This window comes from Homo sapiens, chromosome 12 (genome assembly GCF_000001405.40).
Source record: "Homo sapiens chromosome 12, GRCh38.p14 Primary Assembly".
Lineage (NCBI taxonomy): Eukaryota > Metazoa > Chordata > Mammalia > Primates > Hominidae > Homo > Homo sapiens.
The window spans coordinates 63,599,472-63,613,934 of record NC_000012.12 but is presented as its reverse complement, the minus strand read 5'-3'; the positions used below and the strand labels follow the sequence as shown (position 1 = coordinate 63,613,934).

Below are 14,463 nucleotides of genomic sequence, written 5' to 3'. Positions count from 1 at the left end.
ACAGGTGTCAGCCACCACGCCCAGCTGTCTCTTTTATTTTTTGCTTTGAGAACTTGTTTTACTTCTGTCCAAAAGGGTTGCTATTAAAAGTTATACAAGTTTTGATACGTTATAAACGTATCACTTTCTCTTGAATACTTTTTATCTTATTTCTTTTTTTATTTCTAAAAGTTTCTTCTCTTCACCTTTTATAGCTCTTAAGGCATTATTATTATGTTCATTTCCTCATATTCCTTCTAGTTTTTTATGTCTGAAATTATTTTTGTTTTATTTCAAATTATTTGATTTCTGTCAGCTCATTTCTCAGTTTTTCTAATTTTGATTTGTGTCATTCTTTCACATATTTTAGTATTTTAAAATATCTTATTTTAAATGGCTCATTTTGAAATGTAAGTTTTGTTTAATTGTTCAGTCTTTCATCCTTAAGTAACTGTGTTAGCTATAGGATTTTTCAGAGAAGCCCTTTATCAGCTTAAAGAAGTTCCCTTCTGTTCAGCTTGCTGAGTTTTTTCAAAAATGAATTTCGAAGATATGATATCATATAGTTTCTCTTTTCTGTTTTGTTAATGTGCTGCATTATATTGGTTGATTTTCAAATGTTATAGCATCTTTGCATTCCTTGAATAGACCTCACTTTGGTCATGCTGTTTTATTATTTTTTGTGGGATACAGCTTTCTAAAATTGTACTTACGATTTTGCACCTAAGTTCATGACAATAATTGGTTCATAGTTCTCTTGTGACATCTTTGTCTTTTTTGGTATCATGGCAATGCTGGCCTCATAAAATGAGTTATGAAGTGTTCCCTCTTCTCCAGTTTTCTGAAGAATTTGTGTAAAATCCTTATGATTTCTTCCCTAAATATTTGGTAGAATTTACCAGTGAAACCATCTAGGACTTTCTTTGTAGGAATGTTTTTAACTACAAGTTCCATTTCATTAATAAGGTATAAGGCTATTCGTGTTATCCATTTCCTCTTGAGTGAACTTTGGTTGTATCTTTCAAGGAATTTTTAAATTTTATTTATGATGTCAAATTCATTGACAAAGGCATAATATTTTATTTCTTTTATGTATCTATAGTATCTGTAGTGATAGTTCCTCTTTCATTCCTGGTATTAGATGTTTGTGTTCTATTTTTTTTTCTGATCAGTCTGGTTAGAGGTATATCAATTTTATTAATTTTCTTAAGGAACGAGCTTTTGTTTTCATTGATTTGCTCTACTGCTTTTGTTTTCTGTTTCATTGATTTCTACTCATTCTTTATTACCTCATTTCTTTTGCTTACTTTGGGTTTTGCTCTCCTTTTTTCCTAGTCCTTTTTTTTTTTTTTAAAGGTATAAAGCAAGGTCATTGACTTGAGACCTTTCTTGTTTTTTGTTTTTAAACACAGGTGTTTAGTGCTATAAACTTTTCTCAAAGTACTGCTTTATCAACATCCCACATATTTTGATAAAGTACATTTTTAAATTTATTTCATGTTATTGTCATACATTTTACTTAAACATGTGATATAGAAATCTCAATAAATTTTTGTTTTTACTTAAACAGTAAATTACCTTTGAAAAGTATTTGAAATTTTTAAAATGTTATATATTTACCCTGTAGTTACCATTTTCGGTGCATTTTACTTGTGTACAGCCAGATTGACCTACTGTATTCCTGCTGTCTGAAAGACCTCCTTTAACATTTCCTTTAGTGCAAATCACCTGGTCATGAAGTCTTTATTTTGCCTTCATTTTTGAAAGGTATGTTTCCTGGGTGTAGAATTGCAGGTTAACAGCCCTTTTATTTAAGAATTTAAAAGATGCTGCTTGACTTGTCTTGTTGTTTGCATTTTTTTCTTATGAAATCTGTTGACATCCCTACGCTTTCGTCTGTAAATAATATGTTACTTCTCTAGCTATTCCTAGCTAGAGATAAGATTTTCTCTTTACCACTGATTTTGAGCAGTTTGTTTATATAATGTGCCTTACTATAGCTTTCTTTATGTTTCTTGTATTTAGGATTAATTGAAATTCTTAGATCTTTAGGTTTACAATTTTTATCAAATTTGGAAAAATTTTGGTCATTATTTCTTCAAATATTTTTCTGCCTCCCCACTTCACTTTCATTTAGGGACTCTCACTACATGCATATGGGGCTGCTTGAAATTGTTCAGTGGTTCATGGAGCCTATGTTTATTTTTGTTCTTAATTTAATTTTGGATAGTTACTATTGCTGTGTCTTCAAGAGTTCACTGGTTGTTTTTCTGCAGTATCTAACCTGTTGTTAATCACATCCAGTGTATTTCTCTTTTAAGTCATTGTAGTTTTCATATCTAAAAGTTCATTTTGGATCTTTGAAGTATTTTTGTGTCTCTAGTTAACATGTTCTTTCTCTGTTACCACTTCTTCACCATGTGTAATACAGTTATACTAACTGCCTCAGTGCTTCCACCTGCTAATTCTGTCATCTGTGTCGGTTTCAATTAATTGTTTCTTCTTCTCATATCGGGGCTGTGTTTTCTTAAGTGTTTGCAGGCTTGGCAATGTTTACTTTGATGCCAGGCTTTGTGACTTTTACCTTGTTAGCTGCTGGATTATTTTCTTATTCCTATAGATATTCTTGAGCTTTTTTCTGTGATGCAGTTAAGCCACTTGAACATAGGCTGATCTTTTCAGGTCTTGCTTTTAAGATTTGTTAGCTGGAATGAAAGTACTGGTTAGTTTATGGCTAATATTGCTGCTCTCTGAAGCAAACTCTTCTGTGTAGACTACCTGATGTGCCCTTTGGCTGCACTATTTTATATTCCCACCAACAGTGCATAAGCATTCCAATTTTTCTACATTTTTGCCAAGACTTGTTACTTCTGGTTTAGTTTTGGTTTGTTTTGTTTTATAATGGCCATCCTAAGTTTTGAGGTGGTATCTCATTGTGGTTTTGATTTACATTTCCCTGATGATAAGTGATGTTGAACATCATTTTAAATACCTGTTGGACATTTGTATTTATTCTTTGGGGAAATGTTTATTCAAGTCCTTTGCTCATTTTTAAAAGAAATATTTGTGTGTGTGTGTGGTTTTTTTTTTTTTTTTTTTTTTTTTTTTTTTTTTGCTATATTCATCAGAGGTACTGGCCTGTAGTTTTCTTGTAGTATCTTTTTCTGGATTTGGTATCAGAGTAATGCTGGCCTCATAAAATGTGTATAGAAGTGTTCTCTTCAATTTTTTGGAAGAGCTTGAGAAGGATTGGTGTGAATTCTTATTTAAATGTTTCATAGAATTCTCCAGTGAAGCCATCTGGTTCGAGGTTTTCCTTTGTTGAGAAAATTTTTATTACTGATTCAATCTCCTTATTAGTTATAGATCTGTTGAGTTTTTTTTATGTTTTCATAATTTACTCTTGGTAGGTTGTATGTTTCTAGAAATTTATTTCTTATAAGTTATCTAATTTGTTGGCATATAATTGTTCATAGTTGCTCTATAATCTATTTTTCTTGGTATTTTAGTTTTTTAGGGTGAGAAAGTAAATGTGGTTCCTGTTATACAAACTTGGACAGAAGCAGAAGTTTCATTCTGATTGATTTTAGTTACTTTGGGTGAAACATTACCATGTTTCAATGAGGAAGATATATATATATATAATTATACTCAGAAAATACTTCCCACTATTCCTTCCAGCACATTCACTCTACCTTTCTTTTCACCCTGTTACTGCCTATTCGCTGTAGGTAAGAAATCTCATTAGTTTTCTGGTTGACCCATTTAGTTGGCTTTTTAAAGTACTAATAACTATTACATGTATATTTTTTATATCTCTTCTTCTTATATTAAAGATAGTCTTTTGCCTTTTTTTTTTTTTCATTTAACAACCTATCCTGAATATCAGTTCATAGAGATTTTCCTCATTCTTCTTGGTAGTTTCCTAGTGTTCTACTGTGGATTTACTGTAATTCAGTCACTCTCCTATGTCTGGGCATTTAGGTTGTTGCCTAACTTTTGCATTTACAAACAATGTTGCAATGAATCATCTGATACATTTATATTTTCCTATTGGAAGTTTAGTAATCCTGGCTCACTTTGGGAATTTCTACACCAACTAAATGATACAAAATTGGAATCCAAGTCTAAATAATACGCAAGTCCGAGAATTCAGTTTCTCATGAGAGCACTGTTTTCACCCCAAACTTGGGAATAAACAAATAACCTATCAACTTGTAGAGATGGTAGGTGAAGTATTCTTAGTCACTGTGTGTCTTAGTCAGTTTGGGCTGTTGTAACAAAAGTACCACAGACAGGATGGCTTAAACAACAGGAATTTATTTCTCACAGTTCTGGAGGCTGAGCAGTTCAAAAATCAAGGTGCCAACTGATTTGGTTCTTGGTGAAAGCCCTTTTTGTGGTTTGCAGACAGAAGCCTTTTTGCTGTGTCCTGACATGGTAGAGAGAGACATCAACTCTCTAGTCTTTTGTAATATGGGCACACTAATCCCATTCATGAGGGTTTCACCCTCATGACTCAATTACTTCCTAGAGGCCCACCCTCCAAACACTATCACACTGGGGATTAAAGATTCAGTCTGTGAATTTGAGGTGGACACAAATACTCAGTTCATAGCACTGCAGGTATAGTTTTGAGGACCCTAGCTTTATGTATTAGTGTCAATCCCAACTTCTTACCTTGCATAGACCCAAGGCCTCTTCTGCTGCCCTCCCCTTACAATACAAGCCTATAGTTGGAACCTTATTCTACAGGCCTTTATAAAGACTGCCAGGGGTGGTGCTTCTCTGCTGATTAATATTGTATTTTTTAAAAATAATATTTTTTCTAGCATCGGAGAAGTTCTTTCTCTTTCACATAAGTATATATTTTTTAAACATGTTTAAATATTTTATTCGGCAGTTTGGAGAGGAAGGATTTTCATGTTAGTTTAGTTCACTAACGTTGCTGGATAACTGACATACAGACTTGCATGGTTGCTCTCATCTGCTCACATACCATTTATCTTTGTAGAGGAATTAGCCTGCAGAAAATGGTCAGGGTATTTAAGTGAGGAAATAATGAGGCAACTTTTTGACACACAAACCATTTAACTCTCACCTCAAGGAAATTTGCCAAAATTTGTCCAAAATTTGAAAAATCAACAGTTAAGGAGGAAAATGGCTGGTGATAGCTGAGATGGAACAGGGTGGCTATATAATTTTTGAAATGTACCATTTATACAAAATATAAATGTTAATTGTATTGAATTGTTTCATTTTCCCTTATGTGCATTTTAGGCAATAATTCTAAAGAGAAATGAAATTCAAAAACTGGGAGTATCTAAACTCAACTTTTGGGTAAGATTCAATGTTTTTAATGCAGTTTATTTAAATTCTACTTTTTATTTCTATAAACTGAACACAGTTAATATGCTTTAAAATGCTAATGATTTATAGTTAATAAATAGCTACTGTCTTAAAAATAGTTACTATCTAAGGTAGATAGATATGTAAGGAAATAGTCCTTAGCAAGGACTAGAAATCATTTTCAAGAAGTTAGCTCACATATTTCACAACTAACTTTCAGGCCACTCTTCCTTTATGTTTCATTCTGCTATATCCATACAGCCTTGCTTTTTAAAATTTGTTTGTCTTGAGTTTCTCTCTCTAGCTTCAATTAACCTTCCCTTCAACATAACTCAAGTTTGTAGTTTCTTGCCAGCTTTCTCCTTTTCTTTCCTCTGCATCTATCCATCATCTGTCTCTCTTTCCTTCTGCTTCCAACTTTAGACTCTATTACTTTTGTCCTTTTAACATTTTCCTTACAGTCTCCCAGCCCCTTCTAATTTGAACTCAGCCACTACCTAATTTTTGTTTGGCTTCTTCCCAAATATGCAGATGGATGGCCCATATTACCTCCATGGTTTCCTAGTAAAATAAGTTATTAGGCAGGTAGTGCAACTCCTAAATTCTCTTACAGGAGACAGACAATATTCTTTTTCTCTGGTCTGTGATGTTCTTCTATTAAAAAATAAACCTTGGGCCACACACACTGGCTCACGCCTATAATCACAGCACTTTGGGAGGCCAACGTGGACAGAGAGCTTCAGCCCAGGAGTTTGAGACCAGCCTGGGCAACACGGCAAAACCCCATCTCTACAAAAAATAGAAAAACTAGTTGGGCATGGTGGCATGAGCCTGTGATCCCAACTACCCAGGAGGCTGAGGTGGGAGGATCGCTTGAGCCCTGGAAGGTTACAGTGAGCCATGATTACCCCATTGCACTCCACCCTGGGTGACAGAAGAAATGAACTGTATCTTTACATGTTATATATTGAAAGGATAAGTCTGGAAATGTTACAAGTTGAGGAGGTAGGTTCCTACCCACAATACAAGAGAACAAAATGGAAGGAGTTGCTATTTTCTCCTTGTTGGAGGCATTCTCCCATCCTTTATGGTGAAAATATAGAAAGATTTGTCCACTAAGTTGTTGAATGAATGGCATGATGCTTTTTTTGTCTTTTTATTATTCTTTGTTGGTTCTACCAATTTGACTCTTTACCCAGGTCACCTGTCCTTAGACATGCAGGCTTTGTAGAAATTCACATATCGACATTACACTTGTAATATATAATTCTTTCACTTCAGAAAAATTGAGCAATTTAATAACTCAAAAGGAGGTCAGAATTTCAGTTGCAAACTATTGAAAAATGACAATAAATAGAAGAGTGTCCATAAGCATCAAAAAAAATTCTGCCAAGGCTGCACTCAAAGGAAAATTAACTGTCTTCATTTTCAACAACATTTTCAGTAATAGACTGGAAAGAACATGAATTGACCAAGTTTTAAAATCAAGAATATCAAAGAAACAAAAAATCTAAGGAAGGAAAAGTTGAGATTTAACCAAATGTTCAGCTTACATGTTTTTTAAGCCTCCCTAGGTATTATTTTCTGTTTTTTGCTCTGTGTATCTTTGGCAAAAATAAGTATTTATTACACACAACCTGAACAAGGTATTTTTAGATATAAGTGATTCACTTTAGAGTTTAATGTCAATAGAAGCAAGTTCACTGTTTAATGGGAGACTCCAGTTTTTGGTGATGAAGTAATTGTTGAATTGAGCTCATGCTGAAATTTACAAAATTTACAAAGGGGAACTTTGTGTGCATCATGAAGCATGAGAATCATTACAAGAAGGGAAATGGAACCTCCAAGATAATCTAAAGCTCAGTACTAAGGCCAGATAAGGATAGTATGAGAAAGGATATTCTTACTTGTGAGCATAGATTCAAAATTTCACCTAGATTAAAAACATTCCTTACACACAAAAGTGTAAAAGATTAGTAACTCAAGAACAGCCATATATCTGATAAAGATAATCCACTTGTGATAAATCTGGCTTATTCTAGGAATCGAAAGATGTTTCTAGAAAATCCAAAAATGTAAATTATCGCACTAAGAGATTAAAAGAGAAAAATATCTTATGATCATCCCATTAGATGCAGAAAATAAAATTGATAAAATTGAACACCCATTTATAATGAAAACATTTAACACAGTATAAATAACAGTTTTCTCAACCCAGTAAAATTCTTCAGCAGTCATTAGTCTTACCGATAATAAGGTATTTAGAGTGTTCTGTTTAAAATCAATATAAAGATAAATGTGCTTTTTCACATTTTATTAAAGGTCCAAACTAGCCTAGTAATGCAAGAAAAGTAAATAATAGGAAAAGGAAAGAAACAGAAGCAAAATTTATTATAGTATCATATTTACCTAGAAAGAATAAAATAATTGACAAATTATTAGAAATTAGAAGAATTCAATACCATGGCTAGATATAAGTTTAATATTAAAAAATCAATTGGATTTCTATTCTTTGGCAACAAACAGAAAACATATTTTTTTAAAATATGCCTTATGTATTAGGAAGAAAAATGCATAGGATCTGAATGAATCTAACAAAATACATACAGTATTTGTATGGGGAAATTTATTTTAAAATTTCTAAGATATAAATAGAAAAATAAAACACATTTATGTGTATGAAGGTTCATGTAATGCAGTTCTCCCCAGTTGATGTTCAGATTCAAAGCAATTTCAGCAAGATTGTCTTAAAGGTCACATGTCACTAAATGATGCTGGGATAGTCTATCTATATGAGAAAAACCAGATGTTATACACAAATATCAGTTCCAGGCCTAGCCATTTTGAATGTTCCTAAGCTGGATGTCTTTTTGATATGTCTTTATAAATTTATAATGCTCCAGGCTTTTCTTGATTTTCCTTGTGCTAGCCTTGGAATCAGCCATTTTTCCAAGGAGCCCTGGTTCCTTTTAGAGGACAATGGTATTTGGAAACCAAGACCTGAGTGGTATGTGCACTCATTACTACCAGTGTGTCCTTGTTTCTAGGCCCTTTCACTGCACGTGTGTGCACACGTGTGTGTGTATGAAATCATGATTTCATAACTATAGCTCCAATCCCAGCCTAATGCTATAGAAAGGCAGACTAGTTAGGTACCTCAGAACGCACAGAAAAACACCACAGCCTGCCATCTCCTGAAACTCCATCCAGTGGCAGAAGACACTCAGAAAGAGGTTCCAGGGAAATGCTCTCTATGATGTGGGTCTGGTATCTACTATTCCCTCCAAGAAGCCTGCCCATGCAGGTAGCAGCAGCAGGGAACTAACAGGTGCCCTGCTAGGACTAGGCAGCCCAGGAAAGAGCCCTCTGCTCCTTACCGACCTCCTAGCCCACAATCCTGGTGTCTCTCACCCTCCACCTCATGGCAACAGGACATGGGAAGTACATTCTTCCTACACTGGTAGCATGATTTGGGGCTGAGACGGAGCACCAGGGCACCAGATGAATCAAGCTGACCAGAATAGCACTAGCACTGCAAAGGCTCTGAAAACTAAACTGTCATTGTAACTATAGCAAACAGAAGTAGGCCAGGACTTGCGTGATAAACCTAAAAACAAAGTGACTGTCTGCTGAAATAGAAATTTAAAATAGGATCCACAGTCTCTAACATAATATAAAAAATGTACTGGACACAGTAGAAAAACCACTCATCATAGCAAGAATGAAGAAAATAACAACTTGAATGAGAAAAGACAGTCAACAGATGTCAACACTGAGATGAATAGGATGTGGGGATTATGTGACAAGGGTTTTAAAGCAGTCATCATAAAAACACTTCAATGAGCAGTTTTAATTACTCTGGAAGCAAATGAAAAGGCTATAAAAGCTCACCACAGAATTTTTTTTTTAAGAAAGAACAACTTGGTGATTATAGAACTGAAAAATACAATAACTGAAATTAAAATTTAATAAATGGACTTGGTAGCAGAGTGAATATTACAGAGGAAGCAATCGGTGCTCTTGAAGACAGAACAATAGAAATCTCCCAATCTAAATTGAGAGAAAATCACAGGAAAAAGGACAGAGCCTTCGGGACCTATGGTGTAGTAACAAAAGATCTAATATTTGTATCATCAAAATTTCAGAAGGAATGGAAAAAGAGAGTGGGGCTGAATAGTATTTTAAGAAGTAATTGCTAAAACTCCCCAAATGTGGTGAAAGACACACCTGCAGAATCTGTACCTGCAGAGTGAAGATACTGAGCGATTCCCAAGTAAGACAAACCCAGAGAAATCCATGCCAAGATACATTATAAGTTAACTTTTAAAATGAAAAGAAAAAAATCTTGAAAGCAGGTATGGAGAAATGACACATCACCTACAGGGCAAAATTGAGTTGAATTGTAGCAGACTTGTCATGTGAAAGTAAGGAAGCCAGAAGGTTGGGGCAGAACATTTGTCAAGATGAATTACATATCCAGTGGATGTTTCCTTTAGGAATGAAGGGGAAATAGACATTCTCTAATCAATGAAAATTAAGATAATTTGTGGCTAGCAGAGAACCTTAAAGAATGGTTAATTGAAGTTCTTTTGTAAGGTTTGTGAAAGACCAGATGGTTGTAGATACGTGGTTTTATTTCTGAGTTTTCTATTCTCTTCCATTGGTCTATGTGCCTGTTTTTGTACCAGTACCATGCTGTTTTGGTTATTGCAGCCTTGTAATATAGTTTGAAGTCAGGTAGCCTGAGGCCTCCAGCTTTGTTCTTTTTGCTTAGGATTGTCTTGGCTATATGAGCTCTTTTTTTGATAGCATGGAATCAACCCAAATGTCCATGAATGATAGACTGGATAAAGAAAATGTGATACATATATACCATGGAATATTATGCAGTCATAAAAAGAAATGAGAACATGTCCTTGACAGGGACATGGATGGAGCTGGAAGCCATTATTTTCAGCAAACTAATGTAGGAACAGAAAACCAAACACTGCATGTTCTCACTTATAAGTGGGAGCTGAACAGTGAGAACACATGGACCCAGGGAGGGGAACAACACACACTGGGGCTTGTCAGGGGAGGGTAGGGGAAGGGAGAGCATCAGGAAAAGTAGCTAATGAATGCTGGGCTTAATACCTAGGTAATGGGTTGATAGGTGCAGGAAACCACCATGGCACATGTTTACCTATGTAACAAACATGCATATCCTGCACATGTACCCCAGAACTTAAAATTTAAAAAGTTCTGGAAACAAAAAGGAAATGCAAGAAGGAATCCTAGAATGTAGGGAAGAAATATAAAACAGCAAAATAGATACACAGAGGGGTAGATATAATAGACTATTCTTCCCATGTGTATTTCCTTTCGTGTACTTTTTTTGCTTTATTTTGTTATTCTTTATTTAGATTTTTAAGTCAAGGATTTAATTCATTTATTTTCACTCTTTCATTTTTATTGATAAAGCTTTTGAGGCCATGAATTTGCTTCTTATCCTTGCTTTAAATGTCTTCCTTAGTTTCCATATGGAAATGGCATTTGCCTGCCATGCTGCTGCCATCATTCTATTTTTCACCTTTCTGAATCTGTTTTTGTTTGTCTTCCCTGTGTAGCATAAATTGAGTCTGTCTTTGCTTTGTGAGATAATGTGAAAACCTTTGTTGTAAGTTTTATGTATATTTGACTATATTTGCTTTGTTTCTGTATATGATTCTCTTTTATTTTAAACTTTTTGAATTTAGGAAAGTTACTATTATTTCCTCAATTGTTGCATATTTTCAACTTCTTTAAATAACGTCTATACTTGAATGACAGATTGGCTAGATATAAAATTCTTGGTTCTCAATTTTTAAAGTTTCTTAAAAATACATCTACACCACTGCTTTGGTTTGTATGTTTCTTTTAACAAGTCTGATGCTAGCCAAATTCTTCTGTCCCTTATAAATTATGTGACTTTTGTGCCTGGAGGTTCTGAGGAATTTTTCTTCATTTTTCATAGTTCTACTGAAAGATGCCTTGAGTTAGTTTACCATACCAGATTAATTTTTTCCAGTACCCCCTGGATCCTTTCCAAATGCCGATTCAGGTCTTCTTTTATTTCTGGACAGTTTTCTTGGATTATAATTTAAACACTAGTTTTGATTCATTGCTGTGGTTTTCTTTTTCAGGCACTCCAGTTATAATTATGTGCCTTTCTTCCATTTCTACCACTTTCTCTGATACTTCCCACATCTTTCTCTGGTATCATTTTCATTCTTCATCATTGTTTTAGTGCCTTTACTTCAATTCCTTCATTATTTGAATTTTTCTTTTTATCATCTTGTGATTCAGTTTTTATTTTTTTTGATAGTATTCTCCTTTTCTTCCATTCCCTTTCTATGTCTAATAAACTCTTTATTTCTTTCTGCTTTTTTCCCCATTTCTGTTCTTGGTTTTTGAATTTCTTGTTTAAATTGCTTTTTTAATATTTCTGAATGCTCGTTTGAGGATATTTAGTTCAACTTTTAATTCTGCATAATATTCTTCTGTTTTGTGAGATTTTATCATTCAGTGGTGTGGATTTCATTAGCTGAAATATTTGATTTTCATGTTTGTTATCTTCTTAAAGAAGCTTTGGATATTTATAAAGGCATTTTTTCATCTATTAATTATTTTGTGTTTTCTAGTCCAAGTGCAAACCTCTTCTGAAAATGTAGCATAGTGTGATTTTTTTCAATGAATAACTTTTCTCTTTTTTTGTGCATGATGGCAGTAGTGATGGATAGTCTTTTGGTTTGGGTTCTCATTTTTCCTGCTGGATACTTTTTCCTTCTTGCACTCCCCTTTTTATCCTCCTTCCTTTCCAGAAATAATGCCTTTCTAACATCAGTGCTTTTGTTCCTACTCACTCTTAGGCCCTGCTCTGTACTCCCATTTACCAATCTCCCAGAGCTCTTTTTACACATAGGATGGACTTTTCTCTTTCTTGGGTTATTTTATTTCCAATTTTGACCCCTGTCTTTCCTTTTCTTCTTTATCCTTTTATGGGTCTCCCCTCATTCTCTGCAAAGGCTTAGGTCAGGGACTTGAGGTATAACTCTATAGATTCGTTGCCTCCTTTTCGATTCATAGGTAATTTGAAGTTTTTTGCCATGTATGTGGTTGTATTGCTCTACTTGTTGGTTGATATATGCAGAGATTTGAATTTAGGTTGCTGTAACTTTCCCCAGGCTAACCAGAAGTACACAATTCTTCCCTTTTTAATCAAGGCTAGTCAAAAAATAAACAACAACAACAACACAGAAGCCTCATTGCCGTTCTAGTTCATATTCCTCTTTCTTAAAGGAAAGCTTAAGTTTTCACATTTCAAACTGTTATTTCTTGATGATGGGCTCATATATTTCCACAGGAGTGGTAGAAGAACTTTTAAGGTAGTGTTTTAAAAAATGGATTTTCAGCTGAGAAATAATATTTGGAAACAAACACATAAACACTCCCTTTTCTTAACAGAAATCAAAAGGAAGTAACCTTTTAAAACTTCCTTTAGATTGGCTGGGTGCAGTGGCTCACGCCTGTAATCCCAGCACTTTGGGAGGCCGAGACGGGTGGATCACGAGGTCAGGAGATCAAGACCATCCTGGCTAACACGGTGAAACCCCGTCTCTACTAAAAATACAAAAAATTAGCCGGGCATGGTGGTGGGTGCCTGTGGTCCCAGCTACTCGGGAGGCTGAGGCAGGAGAATGCCGTGAACCCGGGAGGCGGAGCTTGCAGTGAGCAGAGATCGCGCCACTGCACTCCGGCCTGGGGGACAGAGAGAGACTCCCTCTCAAAAAAAAAAAAAAAACTTCCTTTAGATTTAGGATATGTATAAGCAGCCACTTTTCCGATGCACACGGGTTTTTTTCTTTGTTCAAATCCCCCCTTCCTCTGTCTCTGTACGGGGAGCTGTTTTCTTTTTCCTTCTTTCTTTCTTGGCTATTAACCTTTCACTCCTTAAGACAAAAAAAAAAAAAAAAAAAAGATTTAGGATATGTAGAATTCTAGTGTTGCTATATATTTTATACCAGTGTCATCAGTTTTAATTCTTTGCTTTTAAACAAGATTTTCTAAAGGAACTTTTTTTAAAAACTTCACCATTTATACCTCACATAATTAAATTTTTTCTATGTCATTTGTAGACATAATTGAATACTTTAGCTGGGTGATTTGTAGTTTTAAATACTGGACTTCTATTTTATTTTCTAGCTAATTCAAGGTAGTGCCTGGTGGTGTGGAACAATCATTTTGAAATTTCTGACATCTAAAATCTTAGGCGTTTCAGACCACGTAAGTACTTTTTAGTTAAAACATGAAAGTTCTTATAAATATGTAGCTGAATGAAAACTTTGAAACCATCTATTCTTATCTCTTCATTTTACAGAGGTTAAGTGCCTTCTCTAAGGTCTCTAGACGAGTTATTGGCAGAGTCAATAATAAAGTCTTGCAGTTCAGTGATCTTTGCAACCCACTAAAAAGAAAAAATATTCATGAATGCTGACTTGCCCTTTTAGTAAAAAAATACTAATAGTTTGTTAAGTAGTTATTTGTTTATATTTCAGTTAAAATACAAATAATTAGTTGTTTACATCATAAGTTATCCATTTATTGCAGATGTTAACATATGGGAGGCTGTCCTCAGCTTTGAAAATATAGAACTCTTAAAATCTCAATATTGTTTTATTTATTTATAACTGTGGACTAAAATCAATGTATGATTTGATGTTTTAAGGCCTTTCTTGTTATATAAAAAGAGAATGTTAAAAAATTTTGATCTTTTCATTTTCTAGGACATACATGCAGAGCATTTATCTCTCATGTAGTATTTCTGTTTGTTAATGTTTTAAAGAGTAGCCCTTTTCAAGGCCTAAGTCCCTGCTTAACTAACTGGTTTAGGGAATAGAAAACAATGCATGAATCTACTTTTTATTTCTAGCACTTTCTGTTTAGAAATAAGCATACATGAGTATATCATATAATAATCAATTTTGAAATTTACCTCATTTAATGCTATCCAATTAGGGCCCTGTTTGATGCTGAAATTATGTACTTTGGCAAGGGATTATAGTATTACTTCTCTAAAAGGTCAAATGCTATCTCTATGCAATATAACATGCAACATGT

At 34.3% G+C, this 14,463-nt stretch overlaps 1 protein-coding gene across 26 annotated transcripts in view; it reads left to right on the top strand.

The window, feature by feature from the left end:
* DPY19L2 (dpy-19 like 2) overlaps positions 1-14,463 on the top strand; it is a 109,893-nt gene that overhangs the window by 54,871 nt on the left and 40,559 nt on the right. For 20 of the 26 annotated variants that reach the window (XM_047428722.1, XM_011538215.3, XM_024448947.2 and 17 more), the window contains 2 exons: positions 5,260-5,319; positions 13,549-13,629. In XM_047428722.1, coding sequence (XP_047284678.1) covers positions 5,260-5,319; positions 13,549-13,629 — 141 coding nt within the window. Of the gene's footprint in view, positions 1-1,639; positions 2,859-5,259; positions 5,320-13,548; positions 13,630-14,463 lie in introns of those variants that run through there. The other 6 variants (XM_024448944.2, XM_047428726.1, XM_024448953.2 and 3 more) reach the window with 4 other exon arrangements.